We start from the raw sequence: 13,963 nt of genomic DNA, 5'->3' as shown, positions 1-13,963 counted from the left end.
AACAAGTTGCTCTTAACTTTAGTGTGGGGAAAAAGTAAGAAAATCTGGAAGGATTTTGCACTTAGGTTGTTTCACAAGTGTTTGTATATTCTTGTTCCTCCTTAAAAAAATGTAGAGCTGGAAATTGTAGATACATTATGGGTATGGTTTATGCAAGAAAGATGACCCTTTAAAGATTTGTATCCCCCCCGACAAAAAAAAGCATTAGTACTATTTCGAAAGCTTAGTGAATGTTCACTGATGTGTTTTTAGTTATTGTAAAATGTTTTAGGTATATTTATATCATTTTGGGACTCCTCTTTTAACTGATATTATGACCACTTCCAGGACTGAATTGTGCAAAATAAGGAGGCTGCAATATTACCATTGCATTTTATAAAAAGGAAACTGAAACTTAGAGAAGTTATGTACCTTGTATTCTTTTACCAGACAATTCCATGATACACCATGGGATACTGCAAAACTGAGATTGGATATACATTCCTTAAATGTCAGAAAATTGCTTGATTCTGTATCAAGTTTTTTTTAAAACCTTAAAAAATATTAACATATTATATGCATATTGGTGCTTAAAACCATTTTGATGGTGGTGATAAATCTAAAGCATGGTAATATTTTAATTAAAATACTCAGGAATTTAAAATACTGAATAGAGAAAAAAGCAGATTACAAACAGTATATATAATGTAAATCAAATTTTTGGGAGAGTTGTATGCATATATACATATATATATCTTTATCTAATTTGGGGGAGAATTATGTGTGTATATTTGTGTGTGTGTATACATACATATATAATGTACATTTTAGATTTATTATCACCATCAAATACATATATCTCCATGTAAAATAGACCAAAAGGATTTGGTCTATTTCATTATACCAAGTATTAATGATTGTTTTTATTTCTGAATTGTGAGAGGAGAAATTACTTATTTCTTCTGGTTTTCTGTATTTTTCAAAATGTCCTCTATGTACACATAATATTTTTACAATCATTCAAAATGTCTTGCAAACCAATCATGGCCTGGATTTCTTCCCTTTCCCCTTTCCCCTAAAAATATGCTGTTTAGCCTATTATTGCAGTCACCTTAATAATGGGGACATGAAGTCAGGGAAAGAGAAGGAAGTTTTGACAATATTTTCTCTTTGTCTGGCCTTTTGGACAAATTGCTATATAAAACAGGCTTCCATTCTGACCTGCTTTTCTGTGATTCCTGACAATTCGTCTCAGATGTTTTTCTCCTGGGTCTACCAGTGCCTTATCAGTACTGCGTTCTGAAGAATTGTATGCAGTATGGGTTGATTTAACAGAGCTTCTGTCATCCCAGATCTCTATTATGTGTAAGATTATAAGAAGTCTCCTGTCTTGTGACCTGGAATGGCCCAGCTAGAATGAATAATTCACCATATAGTCTTTTCCCTTCAACTATTTATCCTTTACCTTTTTAAGGTTGAAGTTTTCTAACAAATGCAAAAAAACCATAGGTAACAAGTTTTCAGATTTCATTTCTCATACACCTTTAGTAGATTCCTGAACTGTATAAATGTGCAAATGAAAGCTGTCTCTCTCTATCCACTTGGCTTTCTCTGTGCAATTCACTTATGTTTCTGTCTTTTCTTTTTCATGTAACAATCGCTGATGTGAGGATGAACTGTAATGTTACTTATCTGGAATCTAACTGAGTCAGGTATGCCTGAGGAATGCAGTGATTAGGTATGTTTGGGGAGTGTTTTTATGTGAAAAAAATTTTTTTTAAAATCAGCATTAGTGGAAAAATTGCCAGCTGGTACATAAAGCTTTTAGTTAAAAAACAAACAAAAAAGCTTTCAGTTATAGTTTTCCACAGGAACATGATAATTTATTAAACTTTAACAATTTAATCAAGGAATCAGGGATGGTGGGGGGCCTCTGTGTGAAGTATAGAAAAAAAAAAACCTCTCTGAGGTTTGGTGCAATTTTCTTGCTTTTAATCTGGAGCTCAGGGTGTTTCCAATCATCCTAGCTTCACAGTTGGGAGTTTTTCCTTCGTGTTCTCAGAGATTGTAAAAGGAATGATAAAACAGCTGTTATCAGGCTGTGGGACAATCTATGTCTTACCTCACCACAATAGGAGAGTGAGGTACAGATGTTGTTTAATAAAGAACTTAAAAGACGAGGTCAGCCTGCCCAGCCGGGATGAATACAGGCTGTAATTACTCCAGGAGAGAACACAGGTTGTACCCCTAGGAGGATTCTCGATGACATCTCTGGCTTTTCTGCCTGAGACTTCTGAGAGGCAAGAATAATGATGTCCGTGGGTATATATTGATGTGTGTATGGGCAAACAGGGAGGGTGGCAGGTGGTAGATTTGAGGGTCACACAATGTTTTTATTAACTTTTCCTTTGTCTTCCAAATTTAAGACACTTGTGGCATAAGAATAGTCCTGAGAGTCCAGTCTTTGACTTTACTTGAACAATTCAATACTCACTGCTAATCCACCTGCCAATCAACAACTCAGAAGTAAATGGGAAATGTGCGAGGATGAATGATGTTCATTATAGAGTTTTCATGGGCAGAGAACAAGAGTTCACTCAGATGATCTCTCTGGACAACATCTGAGAACTTTTGCTCAAAATAATCTGATCCATGAAGCTTAATTCTACTCTTAGTATAGCAGGTGACAGAAGCTTCCCAACCACCCAAGTGCAAGGCTTGATCCCTTCCAATGACTGAACACTTTTTGCACTTTGGTGGATGAACAAATTACATATGAGTGTAATATCTGTAATGAAAAGAGTCTCAGGAGATGAGAAAAATCTCATTTTTCATAAAGTACTATCAATTTTGTCTACCTTTTTAATGGTAAAAGTGAAATATGCTGATTACAAAAAGAAAGAAAAAAATGAAGAGAATAAAGTATCTCTGCATTGTAATGCCATCATCCAATGGTAATTCTTGTTAATATCTTGGTGTAGGTTTTTTCGTACTGTTTCTTAAGCATGTGTAAGGCACCCCTTACACATACACTTACATTGTTTTATGATAATGAGATAATCACATCCATATTGTCTGACAATCTGCTACTTTCACTTGACAATACACCATGGTCATTATTTCACGTCAATACATTAAGCGTATGTCATCATTTTTCATAGCCACATGGTACTCAATGGTATGGATCTATTGTTATTTACTTGGCTGTTTCCCTACTAATAGACATTTCATTCATTTTTACTATTTTGCTATTATAACAAATTCTTTTTTTTTTTTGAGACAGAGTCTCACTCTCTTACCCAGGCTGGAGTGCAGTGGCATGATCTTGGCTCACTGTAGCCTCCACCTCCCGGGTTCAAGAGATTCTCTTGCCTCAGCCTCCCGAGTAGCTGGGATTACAGGCACACACCACCATGCCTGGCTAATTTTTGTATTTTTAGTAGAGACGGGGTTTTGCCATTTGGCCAGGTTGGTCTTGAACTCCTGACCTCAAATGATCCGCCTGCCTTGGCCTCCCAAAGTGTTGGGATTACAGGTGTGAGCCATTGCACCTGGCCTCAAATTCTATGATGAATACCTTTGCAATATTTTTTAAAAAACATTTGACAAATTATATTAGGAAACATAGTTTCTGGAAAAAAATTAATACTATAGCTAAACTGTCATCAAAAGATGTTAAACTAATTTATATTCTTGCCAATAGTGTATGGGAACGCCTGTGTTCCTTGAAACTCTTGCCAACATTAGATTTTGTGTTTTTTTTTAAAAACTAAATTACTCTGTTAGATTAAAAATATTATCAGTTTGTTTTTCTGATTTTCATTTATTTTCTTACTATACAATTGTAAGAAAATATTTTTATATGCTTGTTGCCATTTTTATTCTTTCTCTATGGTCTACCTCTTCATAACTTTTGCTCACTTTTTTCTATATGGTTGTTTATATTTTCCTTATTGATTTTTAAGTTTGTTATATATTAAGCTTATTAATTATTTTGTCATTAATTCTACCTTATAAGTCTCAGTTTGTCTGTCAATTGTTTTCTAAAACTTTGTGAGTGATGTTTTGGATCAAGCAGAAACTTTAAAAATGATATGTAATCACATTTATCCATCTCTTCCCTTCATAAGTTCTACTTTTGGTGTAATTCCCAGTACAAGATTACATCAATTTCTCTTATATTTTCTTATAATACTTTTATTATTTGTTTGTTCCTATTTGAATCTTTAACTGGAATGTTTCATGGTATACAGCATAGGTCAAGAATTTAATTTTTTTCTCTGTAAATGGTTAGCCAGGTTCTCCATTATTATTTGTTGAAGTTTCCTTGATTTTTTTATTGTTTTGAGATACTTTCTTTATCAGATTATTAATTCTGATACATTATGGGTCTATTTCTGAATTTACTGTTCTATCAATCCATCGATTCTGGTGCCATTACCATGCCCTTTCAAAAACTGTAACAGAATATATTGAGTAACTGGGAGGCATATCTTTTTGTCTATTTAGCCATTACATTACACCACATTTCCATAGCAGTTATGAGCATGAGTTTAGGAGTTAAGATTGCCTGGACTTGAATCCAACCCCATTACTTACTAAATAAAATCACAGTGAAATTATCCAACTGTCTCTTAAATAACTCATGCATTTATTTCTTCCCTTGTAAAATCAAGAAAATAATACTTAGCTCACAGAGTTGTTGTGACAAGTGAAATAAAGTAAAGCTCTTAGTGCAGGGTCTAGAATATAGTATGCTCCACAATCATGGTTAGTTCATAATGGAAAGAATTTAGGACATGGTCCTTCTTATGATTTTGCCTATGACTTCATTGGAGAGATTAGACATAGATGTGAAAAGGGAGATGATAATACACGGTAAGGTAAATACTCACATTTCAGCCCTTATTCCTAGGAGGAGGCCGACTCGGGGCCACTATAGCAGGTACAGAGATGTGGTAAGGTGGCTGGCTACTCAAGCCAGGTATTTCAGGCAAGTGGGGCCTTGGTTTGGTAACTCTTGTCCAGGAATTGATTCTCAGCTTTTGTGTTCCCATTGATCTGGAGTCAGTTGAGATTTGGAGTACCAAGTTACATCCACTAAACATATGTTTTGAGTGTTATCTGATCCGAGATGTTGCACAACCCTAATTAAACAGGGCTGACTTTCAGATCATATGCCCTGTCGAGAAAGTGTAGAGACCTGTTTTCTGCTGGCTAGTTTTTTATTCGTTTGTTTTTGAGATGGAGGCTTGCTATGTGGACCAGGCTGGAATGCAGTGACTATTCACTAGCGTAGTGATAGCTCACTGTAGCCTGAAACCCCTGGTCTCAAGTGATCCTCCCACCTCAGCCTCCTGAGTAGCTGGGACTATAGGCATGAACCACTGTGCTGGTTGCTGGCCATTTTTATAAGCACGGCACAAGTCCTCCTCCCCATTTTCTCCATCTACCAATCACTATGATGTCCAAGTTTCCCAAATCAGATGGGCGGTGCACACTGCAGGTGTTCAGATGCAGTTGTAACTTACCTGGTACCCTCTCCCTCATGGAATCTGGGTCATCTACATTGTTTATGGTATGAATTTCCTTTGACTATAGGGCTTGCCTTCAATGCCCTATGTGACTCTAAAATGACTTGATATGACCTACTTATTAGACTCCTTTTCTGTTCCTCAGCTATTTCCTATGCCAGCCTCTCATCCTGGATTAATTATGCCTGCACCCTGAAATAGAGTAATTCTTTCAGTAACAGGAATATTTATTTATTAATACAGTGTTTATCCATCATTCACTATTTTTTTTTTGAGAGGGAGTCTTGCTCTGTCGCCCAGGCTGGAGTGCAGTGGTGCGATCTCGGCTCACTGCAACCTCCACCTCCTGGGTTCAAGTGATTCTTCTGCCTCAGCCTCCCCAGTAGCTAGGATTACAGGCACCCACCACCACGCCTAGCTAGTTTTTGTATTTTTAGTAGAGATGGGGTTTCACCATGTTGACTAGGCTGGTCTCGAACTCCTGACCTCAAGAGATCCGCCTGCCCCTGACTCCCAAAGTGCTGGGATTATAGATGTGAGCCACTGCACTTGGCCGTCCCTCATTCACTACTGAAAACACATTGGCAAATTTATATTCTTTAGCCTTCTTTTTCCTTTACTACACACAGACCTCTCTTCTGTCGATACATCTCTCCTTTATATTTATTCTCAAATACAGTTGATTAGGTTAGAACTTTCATTCCCTACATTCTAGCTGTTGAACTTGTTGGATTCCTAAGTCTATGCAGCAAGCCATTTACATACCAAGTCTTACAACCACTGAATATGAATATGTTAATCTCTTATATGCCAACTTTTTCTACCTTCAGTTTCAGTGGGTGGTTGTTTCCTGATGCTGTCTCCAAGTTCGGAGGGTGTGGACATTTGAGTACAGCCCCCCAAGTGAGTAGAGTGACTTCTTTTATGTTACTAAGTGGAATCTTGTGCTTGCATCCTAGTTCCATTTTCCTGGGGTGACACAAGACAAGGGAGTTACAGCTTTTCACATCTAGTGTTATCTATCTATATCATAGTAACAGGCTTTATTTTCTTTATTTATTTTTTTGAAACAGAGTCTGTTTCTGTCTTCCAGGCTGCAGTGCAGTGGTGTGATCTTGGCTTAGTTCAACCTCTGCCTCCTGGGCTCAAGCAATTCTCTCACCTCAGCCTCCAAGGTAGCTGGGACTACAGGCACCCACCACCATGCTTGGATAATTTTTAGAGGTTTTTTTTGTAGAGACAAGGTCTCACTATATTGTCCAGGCTGGTCTCAAACTCTGTTGTCCAGGCTGGTCTCGAACTCTTGGGCTCAGCGATCTGCTCATCTTGGCCTCCCAGAGTGCTGGGATTACAGGTGTGAGCCACCATGCCCACTCCGGGCTTTATTGTTTTAAACTGCTGTAGAAAGATACAATCACTGCTAAGCCATTACCTATATATTTATCACCTACTATTCATTATAATGCCTTGTGTTCTGACAGTGTTATCAGAGAATTTTTCAGGCATCTACTGGATGAATGACATTGGGAAAGGCACTGTCTGGGGTTCTTATTTAGAAAGAAGCATCACAAAGAAGGCAGGAAGGGTGACTTTTTCTCTACAGCCCACCGCTCTACGCTTCATTGTGGTTTAGGTTAACAAGTTGTTGTAATTGCTCATTTTGTCCCCTAGACCCTGTTAGGATTTCCTAGAAATACGAGTGCATTTGTCATGTGTTTTAGATGGGCTCAGTGCAATATGGCCTCTAGATGAATTTGCAAATGTAATAAGAAAAGATAGTCCCTCCCTTTTTATTTTAACTTTAACACACAACGAAAAGCAAGAAACACTGGTACCTTGCACCAATGATTTGGAAAGCAGCAAAACTTTGAGAAAGGAGAAAGAAATTACATGTGTGCCATCTGTGTGTATGTGTGCATTTCAAGTGGCATAAAAACTTCTACTTCCATTTTAATATGTATGCTGTAGAACTTAATATGAGAGTTGTAAACATTTCTAGACTTATTAGCTGAAATAAACTTAGTTTACTTTATTACACATGATGTGCTGAAATTTCTGGTGAGGCCTTAATATTCTCTTCCGGGGATAGTTTCTGACTTCCTGGCTTCTGATCAGAATAGATTCTGAATTCTCACTTTTCCTGGTCTTTGGATTCAACAGTCATCTTAAGTCTTACAGTGTAGATGTAGCTGTGCTTTACAATCACCCTGTTGGGCTAGTGGGTCTGAGGTGTCTGTCTATGTCAGCACACACTATATATCTTTTGATCCTACTTTCTTTTGGCCTCTGGGGTATCTGTTGTTACAGAATGGAGGCCTGCTAGAAACTCAAAAGTGACAAGTCTACCATAATCTCTTTGAAGTTCTGAGTACTTCTTTTACTGTGAAAATGATGATGGCTTTAGTTACAAGTCATTTCTCATTCTTTGCTCAAAGTATTTTAGCGGAGTTTGAAGCTACCCAGGTAGAGGAATGCCATGACATATTCTTGAACCCTGAGAAGAATTCACATTGTATCAAGGACAGAAGCAGGTTAAGTTATTGGACAAGGCACTTCAGGGCAATGGAACCTACTTTGTATACACAATAGTCATTACTGTCACTAATAATATTGAAAAGAAATGTCGGTGTGCGCAATCACACCATTTTACATTGTATCCAGGTATTTCTTAGACTTTCATTTGCACGATGTATGTTTTTTTGTGTGTGTCCTCTTATTCAACATAGGCAGAGGAGATACCATTGCCTAGTTTGGGGAGGCATCCTGGGGTACTGGAAAGAGCATATGACTGAGAACCAGAAAGACCTGGGGTTGGATTCCATTTAAACTCCTTTATTGACTTAGTAGTAAATATGAGCAATTTATCCTTATCACTGAATTGGGGGTTATAACACTGGGGTTCCAGAGAGCAGACAGAAACCTTACCAGTTCTAGTAACAAAGATAATTTAGTATTAAAACATGTTAACCGGGTAATAGAGAAATGAAAAGATAAAAAACAAACAACTAGATATAATGGAGGTGATCGTGCAGATCCTACCACTTCCCAGCTGAGGAAACAGAAGACAGAAGTTGGGATTACTTAGAACTCAGAAGATTGGAGGAGAAGGTTTCTTGCAGAGCTGGGACGCAGGTCTCTGAGGAGGGTGTATGGTCTGGCTGGGCTGGTGTCCAGAGGTGGCACAATGAGGCTGGTTCAGCGAGTGTTAGAAAAGCTGCACACTTGAATCACTGCTGCTACTGGAATGAAAACTGCTACTGGAAGCTGGAATGAGCTGCTGCTGTCAGGGCTAAGAAGTATTGCTGAGATGCTGCTGACAAGAATAGGAAGTAAAACAACAAGGATCAAAATCCCTCTTACTCCTTTAGCGTCGTGGTCTCTCTGGCGCCCCCTCTTGGCAGAGCCTAATGGAGCCTCTGGCAAAGCGGAAACGACGTGGTCTGCAGAGTTCCAGAGTTGCAGCCCCAGTATCTTGTGAGCAGAGTAGAGAAGCTGGTTTTAAATTGAGAAACCCTCACTTAATAACCAACACGGCGAGATATCATCTACTCTACAGATTGGTTATCATTTTATTCATTATTATTATTAAAATTTATGTGAAGAATCTAGTATTGCGACTGGCTCATAGTAAGGACTAAAATTCATCAGTTTTTTTCAATTTTTGTTAGTTTACAAAATCTTCTAACAGCCAGTTGTAGTTATTGAGGATGGCCAGTTCCACTTTATATTCTGATTCCTCTATTTTAACCCCAACCCCAGACTAGTAGCATTCACGTGTAGGAACTGGTACTGGTGGCTCTGGAATTTATTGATTATTAGCTATGAACGTTGGGCAAATTAATGAAGTTCTCTAAACCTTAGTTTACATTACATGAGATAACATATGTACAGTCCTTAACTTAAAGCCTGGCAAATAGGAGTTTAAAAATGTTAGCTGCCATTATTGTTATCATCACCATCATCATCATCACTATTTAATGGGTATAGAGAATTAGCAACAATAGTCTAAACTTAACATACAACATTTGAGAAGCCAGCTTTCTTCAAAATCACAAATGATTACCTTGGTTCTCTGAAATGGAATCACTATAATAAAAAGTTAATACAGTTCATTTTCCTTTATAGAGATCTCCCGCATTTTTGGTTTTTCGAAAGATTTCCATTTTTCTAATCTTTTAACTGATATTCTGAAAGAAGCCAATATTACCAATTATGTTTTGCATTAAAGGATACTGAGGTCTGAAGTCTCTCTGAGACTTTCCCTGAGTCATGCATATGTTTGTAAAAAGGCCTGGAAAAGATTCAAGAATCCATCACACCGTTATCAGGGACTCTTGATTTCTGAAGCATTCCTGGCTCTCACTTGCTCAGGAATGTGGAGACGGTCCCTAGAAATTCAGCATGAGTGTTCTGCATGGTAATGCGGTACATCACTGCTAGGTCCTGAGGCAAGCTGAGGACATCCTGGGTTGTATGCATTATGCATGAGAGGGTGTAAGAAATAAAGGATCAATCATCTTCTCCCTCAGATAACATTGATCATTTACTACACATTATTTGGCTGGGCTCTGTGCAAATTTATTTTCTCCAATGAGAACGAGAAGCAGATTGCCTGTTTTCTTAATGAGCAATGACATCAATCTAGCCAAATCTATCAATGCATTGGATTGGATGGCTCTCTCTCTCTTTCTCTGTCTCTTTCCCCTCCTTTCTTGTTTCTCCTCAGCCCCCTCTGTCATAGTTAGAAGAAACACGGACAGCTTCTGAAGAGTGTGCCAGCTCCTGTGAGGGTGGTGACAGAGTGGGAAAATTGGGTCTAATTCAGGGTGATGAAAAGTCTCTTTCTCTCTTTTTTTCTTTTTAATTTAAAGCAGTGTTTCACTCTCCATTTTTCCAGATGGCATATTCTGAGGGGCTGATCTGCAGAAAAGGCCAAGTGAAAAGTCACCCAATAATGAGAAAGGAGGAAGATGGCATGTAGAATGCATGAATAGGTAATGATGCTAGGACTCTGAGCAGGCTGTGATGGCACAAGCAGTCACTGGGAAAAATGGCAAACAGCAATCAGAAAATGTTATTACAAGTTAGACAACACAAATGACTTTTAATAACAATAGAATCAACATGTAGCATCCAATGAGAAATTGGAGTTGAAGCTTGTCTTCTGTTGATACAGTGTTCTTTTCATTGTGGTAGCAATAACAGGCTGTTGGAAGTAATGGTGTGATACAAGATTCAAGAAGAGACTGAGATGTCTTATTGGGGCACATTCCCTCCCTCAGCCAGACAAGTGTCTGCTAAGAGAGGCAGGGGCTTTGAAGTATTGACTAGCTGAGGTTGGGCAACTTAGGAATTGGTGAAGCAGACTACTTATGGCAGATCAGGGCTGGCATGGGGTCCTGGCAGAATCAACGCCATTGGAAGCTCAGTTTGCAGGGAAACACCATGCCTAAGGGAGAGTGGAGATTGCAGGTCCCAGTTTAGGCAGACGGTAGACCAAGAGGGATCCCAACTGTGATGGCTAATTTTATGTGTCAACTTGACTGAGCTAAGATATGCCCAAATAGCTAATTAAGTATTATTTCTGGATGTGTCTGGGAGGTTGTTTCTGAAAGGGATTAGTGTTTGAATCAGTAGATTGAGCAAAGAAAATCTCCTTCACCAATGTGGTTGGGTATCTTCCAATCCATTGAGGGCCCAAATAGAACAAAAAGGTTGAGGAAGGGCAAATTTGCTCTCTGCTTGGGCCGGGATATCCATCCTCTCCTGCCCTCAGGCATGAGTGCTGTTAATTCTCATGCCTTTGGATTTGGACTAAATTACACCACTGGCTTTCCAGGTTCTCCAGCTTGCAGATGGCAGATCATGGGACTTCTCGGCCCACAGAATTGTATGAGCTAATTTTTGTGACAAATCTTTCTCTCTCTCTCTCTCTCTCTCTCTCTCTCTCTCTCTCTCTCTCTCTCTCTCTCTCTCTATATATATATATATATATATATATATATATATATATGTATTTGTTGCATTTCTCTGGAGAACCCTGGCTAGTACACCAATAGAAGAGGGGACTACGCCAACAGGTAGATGAAGTACAGAGACGGGGCAACATCTTGGAGGTCCCGTCAACAAATGGCAGTGGCTTGGGCCCAGAAGGAAGAGTTGTGAGAACCAGACAGGGCACGCATCCTAGGCAAAGGCCAGACCGGTAGGACACAAGATCTCCTACATTATAAATTTCCCATTTATACTGTAGCACACCCACTCCCAGTGTCTCAAAGTTACAGAGAAAGAAACATTTTTGAAACTGCTAGAAGCCCATTAGTCATGAACCATGATTGCACATGGAATCAATGCTGTAAATTGTGAAACATAAGTCTTGGTTCTATTTATTTTGCAGAAGTATAAATATGGTGAATTTTCACCAAGCTGAAAATTAAGGACAAAGAAGAGCCGGGGAAGGGCATGTCATGGAGTGCTATATCGCTACTGCATCGGGCTTGCTTCCCAACCTGAAGGTTATCAGAGCTGAAGCTCAGGAACAGGGCCAAGGGAGATTCAGTTACAACAAGATTTCAGTGGAGGAGGGAAAGGAGAGACTGGGGGGTTTCAGAGGCTTAGCTATAAGAATAGCTCACTGCATGGCAGACACTGTGAGGATTTTCCCATGCATTCAGTGTTCTTATCATCCTTCTTTTCTTTTTTTCTCTTTCTTTTCTTTCTCTATTCCTTTTTTTGTGTGTTACAAATGAGGAAACAGTAACATAGACATGAAAATGTACTCTCCCAAGATGACACAACTGGCAGATAGAGACCTGATCTATAAACTGTTGAGTCCAGAGCCTGGTCTTGTAATGACTGTGCCACATGGCATCTCAGTAATCTGATCTGGGATGTTATATCTGAGCCAGACCCTGTTCAGAGACTGCCCTGAACCAACTCACCTCTCTCATCCTAGAGACTTTCCTTTTATGAGTTCATCCTCATATCAACTTACTGTTTGGGAAGTTCAGATAGAATGTGGTGTTGATGGTATTAACTTGTAATCAGCTCCTAAGCTGTTTTTATATTTTGTCCCCAAATGTAGATTTTTACATCTTATTTAAAGTCATCTTGGTATATTTAACCTATTGCTCTAGGCTGTCAAGATCTCTTTAAATTCTTATTGACAGCAGATTCTTCTTTTTTCTTTTTTTCAAAAAAATTCAATACAACATAAAATACAAACCACAACTCCTTTAAAAGTCTTCCTGTTTCCAAAAGCTCTGACACATTCAGCAAAGATCTATTCCTTGGTGTCTGTCTGTGTTGTGTTTATTTTCTGCTTTGCTGATTCGTGGAGTATAACTGTACCCAAATGTGCCTTTAGACAGCAAACTCTTTGGGGCAAGGGCTCTGCTCTTTGTTTTGGCACGTGCTACCTATTATAGAGCTCAATGTACACCTGGGGCTCTGGATAAATAATAACAGTCCAGGAGCATTTCTCACTTGGAGAGCTGCACTGAATCTTTCAGGCAGCATGTTAGCTTTCTGTAAAGAACATCCGCGTGACCGATTTCACCTTGATATTGGAGGTGCCCATCTCTGCACTTGTTCTACCTGCTGCCCGGCTGGTGTCTGCCTCTTTATTGTTTGGTGTTTCTGCACTGCCCTTAGGAGCCATTCCTGAGAAGCAGCACTCTGTCTTGCAGATGGTGCTTGCCTTTATGAATGTTTTGATTCCAACTTTAGCTGGGAGGCATCCTCCTTTTCCTCCCTGCCTCATTGCAAAACCCTTCCCCGCCACATCCTATTGGTGCTGAGGTGTGATCCCAGATGATTTCCAGTGGACAGAGCCGGAATAGAGGTGGTAAAGAGGTGGAAGAGGACGGTCATTTGAATCTCGGCAGTAAAAACAACTAAACAAAGCTGACTTTCACAGATTTTAGTAAACGGGACTTTGATGTTGGTTTTGTTCTCTCTCTTTCTCATGAGGGGGATGGAGTGGGGGGAATTACACCTTTTAGGAGCTTTTAAAAAAGTAGTTTAAATGTAGTTAACATATGTATGATCATCTTCAAAATATAGAAAGAAAGAGATCCTGGTTGGCTTCAGTAGATTTGAAAACAAAGTCGTCTTCTTTGATGGCAGCCAGACTAGATTACCGTAATTGTCTCAAGTGGCACTTTTGCCAACAATTATAGTGAATCTTATAGAGGGGCCAGGATTCAGTTGAGAGGAGGATGTCTTACACCCATAAATCAACTATATTTTCTCTGAGATGTATAGTAAGAATTTTATTTGCCCCTTTGTGTTGCTGTCACATAAGGAGTGTTGCTTTTTAACAGACTAAAGCTTCAACTTTTGGATTACCTGGCTCAATCTCATGGCTTCTGATTCTTGTTGGCAAACCAAACTTCAGCAGCAAATAGTACTTATATTCTCAATCAAATGGACCTTTAAGCATTTCTTTT

The 13,963-nt window shown here is 38.9% G+C and overlaps 1 long non-coding RNA gene across 1 annotated transcript in view; it reads left to right on the top strand.

Moving 5' to 3' along the window:
• CIBAR1-DT (CIBAR1 divergent transcript) overlaps nt 1-13,963 on the top strand; it is a 353,967-nt gene that overhangs the window by 125,905 nt on the left and 214,099 nt on the right. Inside the window, exon 6 of the long non-coding RNA NR_033858.1 lies at nt 10,411-10,507. This is a non-coding gene — a long non-coding RNA (CIBAR1 divergent transcript). The remainder of the gene's footprint in view (nt 1-10,410; nt 10,508-13,963) is intronic.

The sequence above is a fragment of the Homo sapiens genome, chromosome 8 (assembly GCF_000001405.40).
Source record: "Homo sapiens chromosome 8, GRCh38.p14 Primary Assembly".
Lineage (NCBI taxonomy): Eukaryota > Metazoa > Chordata > Mammalia > Primates > Hominidae > Homo > Homo sapiens.
The sequence above is the reverse complement of the archived record's forward strand: the minus strand, read 5'-3'. Positions and strand labels throughout refer to the sequence as shown.